The 7,589-nt window shown below is 39.5% G+C and overlaps 1 annotated feature.

Annotated features, from left to right (window-relative positions):
* Nucleotides 1,315-1,815: an enhancer, noted in NCBI's record as "H3K4me1 hESC enhancer chr5:119704666-119705166 (GRCh37/hg19 assembly coordinates)". NCBI's record gives its function as "activates a minimal SCP1, AML or CMV promoter by ChIP-STARR-seq in primed H9 embryonic stem cells {active_cell/tissue: H9 hESC(primed)}" and the evidence as "EXISTENCE:reporter gene assay evidence [ECO:0000049][PMID:30033119]".

Raw genomic sequence — 7,589 nt, forward strand, 5'->3', positions numbered from 1 at the left:
TTATCTAAAACTTGTTCTGCCATTTTTCTTCCCTAACAGCTTTCCTTCTGTTTTGTTTTGCTCTCTGGTTAAGAAAGATGACTTGCGTCTAAGTATCCACGATTGGTGTTATCACCAAAAAATTGTATTATTATGTACTCGGATGTCCATATTTTAAATAGGATTTAACATGTACATTAATTTGTATTACTTAAAAACCCTACAATGAGTATATTTTTTCTATTCATGTAACAAAAGTTATTTCTAAAGAATTTTTAAAATAAATAACAAATGCAGAAAAAATTATATATTTTTTCCGTCATAATGATGGCAGCCGTGGCTTGTCTGGAGTGGCCACTGTGAGGACACCAGCTGCAGTGGGGGAGGTGCAGCCAGGGCTGCGCAATCTATGGAGACAGTGGGGACCAGGAACAGGTGATCCCAGTGGCAGCCCTGCACCCTACTGAGTTGGCGGAGTGGGAGCCTGTGCTCCCAGGCACAGCTGCAGCCTCACAGCTGTGACTCCAGACCTGGGCATCCCTGTGCTCTCTGGGCCCGGGAGATCCCTGCCCCTGCAGGCTCAGAAGTGCCTCCTCCTACTTCCTGGCCTCTCCCCACTCTTGGCACATGCTCCAGTGCAGAGCAAAGTTGTAGACAAGTCTGGGCACTGTTGTGACCCAGCTAGGTGTGCGTGTGCTCAGGGCAGCGCTGACATGACAGCCAGTCCCCACCATCGCCTTGGCTTCCTCTGAAACACTGGATGCTGATGAGCTCAGGGAGGGAGGCTGGGGTAGGGGTGGTGAGGGCAGGCCTGTGTGCGCCCCTCAGCACAGACAGCCTGGGCACCGCGGATAGCATATTGATGGCAGCAGGAGGCAGACAGGTTCCTAGGTGGGGAAGGGAAGGTCCCTGGTGAAACCCCACATTCAAGCCAGGGACAGCCTGAAGCCTGGGGGCCAGGCTGCCAGTTTCAGGTGGAGTCCATGACCCGGCGTGAGAACTACGTTGACACCTTTTAGGCAACGGGATGATGCTTTTTCCAGGCCCACCTATGGCTACCCATGGACCAATCAGCATGGACTTCCTCCATTCTGAGCACATAAAAATCCCTGACTTAGCCAGACTGACACACTCGTGGGGGCAACCTGCCTGCAGAAAGAAGCTATCCACTTCAGTTCTCCTGAGAGCTGTTCTGTTGCTCAATAAAGCTCCGCTCCACCTTGCTCACCCTTCAGTTGTCAGTAACATCATTCTTCCTGGACGTGGGACAAGATCAAACAGTAGGAGCAAAAGGAGCTGTAACACGTTTCTGGCAGGCTCACTGAGCTACAGGCAGTGACACACTCCTGGACTGTGGGAGTGAAGAATGGCAACCCTTCTGGGGGCCCAGACTTTGGGGTTCCCCAAGCCAGAACTGCTGTAACATTATAGCACTCTCGCCCTCTGTTGGCACTGGGTGGCTGCTCCACGTAATGGACTGAGCCAGCCCATGTAGTGGTGGGACTGGGCTAGCCCAGGTGCTGCTGGCCAGAGCAGGGTGGCAGGACTGAAGGAGCTGCAACACAAACGGGCTGAAATAAGCCCACTTGTGCTCTACACTGTGGGTGGCGAGAAGGAGAGAAGAGCTGTGGCCCTTTTGCAGGTCCAGACCTTGGGTTTCCTGAGTCTGGGCTGTGACACACTGTAACACCCTCTTTGGGGTTCTGTGGTTCCTGGCATCTCCAAGTTTTGGGCACCACCTCATTCCCCAGTGCCCTCAGCGGAAGCCACTTGTGGTACACCTGGTTCAACTGCAGCCTTGCACAGAGGCAGCACCTGTGTCAGCACCTGGAGCTGCCTGCTCTGCTGCAGCTGGCATGCCTGGCTGTGCACAGTGGCTGGACCTTGCACTTGCTTACTCACACACCCGTTGCTGCTCCACACCTGGCTCACCCTTGGCAGTCATGGGATCCATGCCAGTAGTGCTAGCTGAGTGCAACCTGCTGGGCTGAGTGAAAAGAATGAGCCCAGCAGGCATGAGCAAAACTCAAGCAGAGGAGCCGCTGGCCACAGAGGTTTCCAGATAGTGAAGCAACACCCTAAGGATCCTGTGACAATAATGGTATTTGATGGAAACTTTTGTTTGATAAACTTAGTGTGAAGTTTTGTGATTAAAAGTTATTGTTTAAAGTCACTGCTAACTCTACTTTCCTCTGTGATTTTGGTGGAATAAAAATAAATAAGGACAGAAAAATAAAGCTTTATTTTTAACAAAACTGTGGAACAGTCACTGCCAAATAGAATAAAATATACATGAAATTGAGGGAAGATACTTAGGAGTTAAACCATTACAGATGCTTGTAAGTTTGTGGCCTTTCCCCTCTAAGTTTTGTATTATGTTGCATTGGCCTGTGTGTCTGTTTTTGTACCAGTGCCATGTTGTTTTGGTTGCTGTAGCCTTATATTATAGTTTGAAGTCTGGTAATGTGATGATTGCAGCTTTGTTCTCTTTGCTTAGGATTGTTTTGATTATTTGGACTACTTTTTGGTTCCATATGAATTTTAGAAAAGGTTTTTCTAATTCTTTGAAGAATGGCATTGGTAGTTTGATAGAAACAGCATTGAATCTGTAGATTGCTTTGGGCAGCATGACTATTTTAATGATATTGATCCTGTAATCCATAAGCATGGAATGTTTTTTCATTTATTTTTGTCACCTCTGATTTCTTTCAGCAGTGTTTTATAGTTCTCCTATAGAGGACTTTCACCATCTTGGTTAGCTGTATTCCTAAGTATCTCATTTTCTTTGTGGCTATTGCAAATGGGATTGTGTTCTGGATTTGACTGTTAACCGGGATATTATTGCTGTATAGAAATACTACTGATTTTTGTACATTGATTTTATATCCTGAAATGTTACTGAAGTCATTTATCAGTTCTAGTAGCCTTTAGGCAGAGTCTTTAGGGTTTTCTGGGTATGGAATCATATCATCAGTGAAGAGAGATAGTTTGACTTCTTCTTTTCCTATTTGTATGACTCTTATTTCTTTCTCTTGCCTGATGGCTCTGGCTAGGGCTTCTAGCACTATTTTTAATAGGAGTGGTGATAATGGGCATCACTGGCAAAAACAGGACTAGGATCAAGGATTTTTGATTCTCTGGTCATGCATCTCTCCTATGCTTTAGGAACCCGCTAATTTTAATAGGTAAGATTCAGAGCTGAAAATGAAAATTTATACACAGAATATATGCTGCTTTGTTTTTTCAAGTGCTACCCTGGACCATTCTTCTAAGTGAGTTTAATGGTAGATACAAAATATAGAGCTCCACATTTTTAGTTTTTTTAGTTAGTTTTGGTGTAAATGACTTTAATAAATCAAATGTTGCATCAAGGTAACTTATAAAATCAAAGGATTTTGTTTCTCTCTTGCACTATAATCACAAGGATAATCTGATGATCAGAGTTTTTTAAAAAATGATGCCCAATACCCTACAGAGAACATGCATTAGATATGCTATGTGACTCAATGCATAGCCTCATGTAAAGATAAACAGAAGTTTCAGAGGCATTACAATTCAGGCAGATATGTTGTCCGGACCACTGTGTTTATTTATTTAATCAGCAAGTGGCTCCATTCACTTAGATCAAAAGACAGGTTGGCATCATTTGGACTATACTATTAGTAGGGATTATATTTGACAACATGCTGATGAGCATTTTGATTTTATTGTAAAATGAGAGGAAGGAGGTTACATACATATTTTATATAAAATATAATTAATAGGTCAATCAATCCAGAGGTCATTTATTGCTTTTATGTTATTAAATAAGTATGTTTTATAGTTAACTTGCACTTAAATATTCCATTTTAAAGTTTTTCTTGATGGAAATTCAGATACATTTATTTCCTGTTCTTATTTTTGTTTTCTTAGTAAATTAAGTAGCTGCTCATTGAATTTGATTCTAACTTTCTATTAGAAACTTGTTCGATGCCTGTAATCCTAGCACTTTGGGAGGAAGAGGCGGGTGGATCACCTGAGGTCAGGTGTTTGACACCAGCCTGTCTAACATGGTGAAACCCTGTCTGTACTAAAAATACAAAAGAAAAAAAAATAGCTGAATGTGGTAGCAGGGCCTGTAATCCCAGCTACTCAGGAGGCTGAGGCGGGAAAGTTGCTTGGACCCAGGAGGTGGTGGTTGCAGTGAGCCAAGATCATGCCACTGTTCTCCAGCCTGGGTGACAGAGTGAGATTCTGTGTAAAAAAAAAAAAAAAAAAAAAAGAAAGAAAAAAGAAAGAAAGAAACCTGTTCTTCTGTTCTTTCCCATAGCTAAGAGTTCTTTCTAATATTACTTAGCCCACCTCAAGTTTTGATTCTACTGTTTTATCACATTTAAATCCATGTAAGTATTTGCACATATAGAATGCAGATTGTACTCCAATCTCTACTGTGCACCACATATATTTCACTTTGTAGGCATGTTCTTAACATAGGAAAGTGCTAACCCCAGGAACATGACATTTAGAAAAATCAAGGCAGCCACTAGAGAATTTTCTTAAAGCTGTTCATTACAAATCTAAGCATACCCAGGGATCCTCTATCATTCCACAGAGACAGGGCCATTTTATACTAATAGTAGACAGGCGTTTCGCTCACTTTTAAATAGTTGTTTTGCAGCCTGCATTACAGAATTTCTGTAAAACCTAAGAATTATAGGTAGTTTTGAAAAAAACACCAAATCTTGAGTTATGAATTAGGATTTCCTATGTAGGTATTAAATACTAAACTATGAGCTAATAGTTTTGTTCACTGGCCAAAAAAAATATTTTGCCTATTACACAAGGAATATACTTAGCAAGTTTAATAGCACAAGAATATAAATATACCCACAAAGATATAGATATATGGAGTAAAATGAAATAGAGTCCAATTCAATTTTCAGTCTCTGGAAATTAAGCCACAATTCGGCCATCAATTTACCTCATGAGAAAATTTGTACTTCTACATTTTATCTTTGAATAATTATGTTGAACAACCATATACTATTGAAAACCAATATTTGGATCCTACTTGAAATGAATTGTAAAATATAATTTCCCAAAATATCAGATTTTGAAGAATTATTTTGGAAGTCTGTAGTTATTTATAAGACAAAGGGTTGAGTAGGTCAAATGTTTTCTTTCATAAGAAATTAAGACAGAATAGAGCAATAAATTTTGTTTGAATGAGAAAGGGACAGAAGGCAAGAATTCTTATAAATAAAATGTATGTATTTGTATGAATTCATTAATAGAAGGAACATAATAGGCAACAAGGGGCAGATAGGTGATGGTGTGCAGATTTAGAGACACATGAGATCTATCATCTGCATGACAGAGTTTCCTGGTAGCTAGATTGGAATGACGCAGCGTGGGAAGGAAGAGGCCTATGGAGCCTTCCCAGCAGTGGTCAGAGACAGAGAATCAGCTGGAACCACAGGACACTATTTCCAAGTAAGCTGCTAACGTCTGGTCATTATTTGGGTGAATAATTGGTGCTGGGATTGGAGAGGAAGAAATGATGTGTTCCAGCTGGTTAGTGGAGCTGACCAAAGAGGCATCTGGATGAATTATCTTTAGAAATCCATGATGGACCTCAGCTTCTGTGATGTGTCACCAATGAAGATGAAGTCTAAACAAAAGACAGAAGTTAAGGGTTGACTCCGGTCCTCAGAAATGCACACTTTCAGTTGACGAGAGGCCTCATCCCCAGACAAATAGAGAAAAACCAGGCAGACTGCTATAGCAAGCCCTGCGATATTGGTGGGTATCAAATAAAAAGTTCACTTTTCTCACTAAGGCATTGAGCCAATGGATATTAGAAAAGGGCTATTAAACTTTGGAGAGGCCTGGAGTTCATTTGAGAATGGGAACAGCATTGGGAATTCACATGGAGATTAATGTCAGCATCAAGCGATCATTTACATGGTCAAAGTTGCATGGCAGAGTGAGTTGGGTATTCTGCATCCTTGGTCTACTTATGAGTGTATGTCCAAGACCACTGGATGAGTGGAGAAGGAGAGGGGGTACCAGAGCTCTCCAACCACCTCAGTCAATTAGTCTAGGGTGGAACTGAGCCTTCATAGGTATCATAATAATGTAAAGTCTAGAACATAAGTTCCTGGAGATCCAGCATCTTCTCTATTATTCACCACTCAATATCAGTACGTCCCTCAGTGCCTAGCACATTTCAGGCACTAAGCAAACATTTGTTGAATGAATGAATGAAGGAAAAATAAGAGAAAGAGACAGGAGAAATTATGACTCATGCAAATACATAAATTCAGGGGGAAATGTCTATGCAAAATAAAATTGTAAAAATCTGGCCATGTGAGAAATGAAGTATTTTACACGAAACATTTGAATATGTCTTAGGAGGTCTTTCCATATAAGCACAATGAAAGCATCTCATTCCATGTTTTAAATGTACCAATATTTATGCAGTTACCTATTTAGTTGTTTCTTTTTCTGCTTTGTTATTTATAAAGCAAACACTTCTATAAGAAAAAATAAGTCATATAGAGCTTTTAATATCTTCAAAAATCTACTTAAATAATTTGACACTTTATGTACACTTAAAATGATCTTGTTTGCAGTGGGAATTTTGCAGGCACACAGAGAGAATATTGTGTAATTCACTGAAGCAAAATATTAGTAAAATTTAAAAACTGGAAGTTGAATAAATAGAACATTAACATTAACTTGGCAGAGGTAGGATATTGTTTTGGATCAAAATTATGATTAGCTTAACTCTAAAAGGAGAAATTGCAAAGAACACCTTTTTTAAAACACTAAATTCTCATTTTTTCTAAACACAAGTCAATGTTTGTGAAACTATAATGGAAGTGAATTCCCAAAATACCTGAATTTGCAGCAATACCATAAACACCATTCTGTGTGAACCATATATAAAACATGTTAGACAAATAATGAATATGTCGGGTTCAGCTCCCACTCAATTCAGTAGGAAAAAATGACCAATATTTAGATGGCATACTTGCCTGCTGAATTTATTCCAGATGTCATCCTCATAAGATTTCTATAAGGAATTTCTATTAGTTAATAATTTACTTAGGGAGAACGTTTTCCATCTTTTTACAAAGAAAGACATGAGGTCAGAATAATATGATAAAGGCTTTTGTTCTATCTTCTTGATATAATTTTAATAATAACACAATGGAATGTATATAGGCTACCCTATCAAATTAGTTCGTTTTCATTTCTTTATTGCCCAAGGAAAAACAAGATTTATATTTGATTTTATTTGTTTGCATGTCTATGAGTTACTATCTTTTTGCAGTAGATGCAACATAGGGTATTAAACTTATTTGACTGCTCCATTCCACCTTAAGAGCCAAGGGAAAAACTATCACATTAAAGCAGTGAAAGGAGTCTGTCACTCTGTAGTGGACTTGCTTGCAGTAGATCATTGTGTAGCATTATGTAACCTCTTTCAGTCCCTTTCTTTTAACTTGTTTTTCTCATCCCAAACAAATCATTAATAATGTTAGTATTCTCCTTTTTTAAAAGAAAGTTATGTTTTTGTTTTATGTCATATCTAAAATAGGTTCAATGAGCTATATGCCTTAGAT

This window comes from Homo sapiens, chromosome 5, assembly GCF_000001405.40.
Source record: "Homo sapiens chromosome 5, GRCh38.p14 Primary Assembly".
Lineage (NCBI taxonomy): Eukaryota > Metazoa > Chordata > Mammalia > Primates > Hominidae > Homo > Homo sapiens.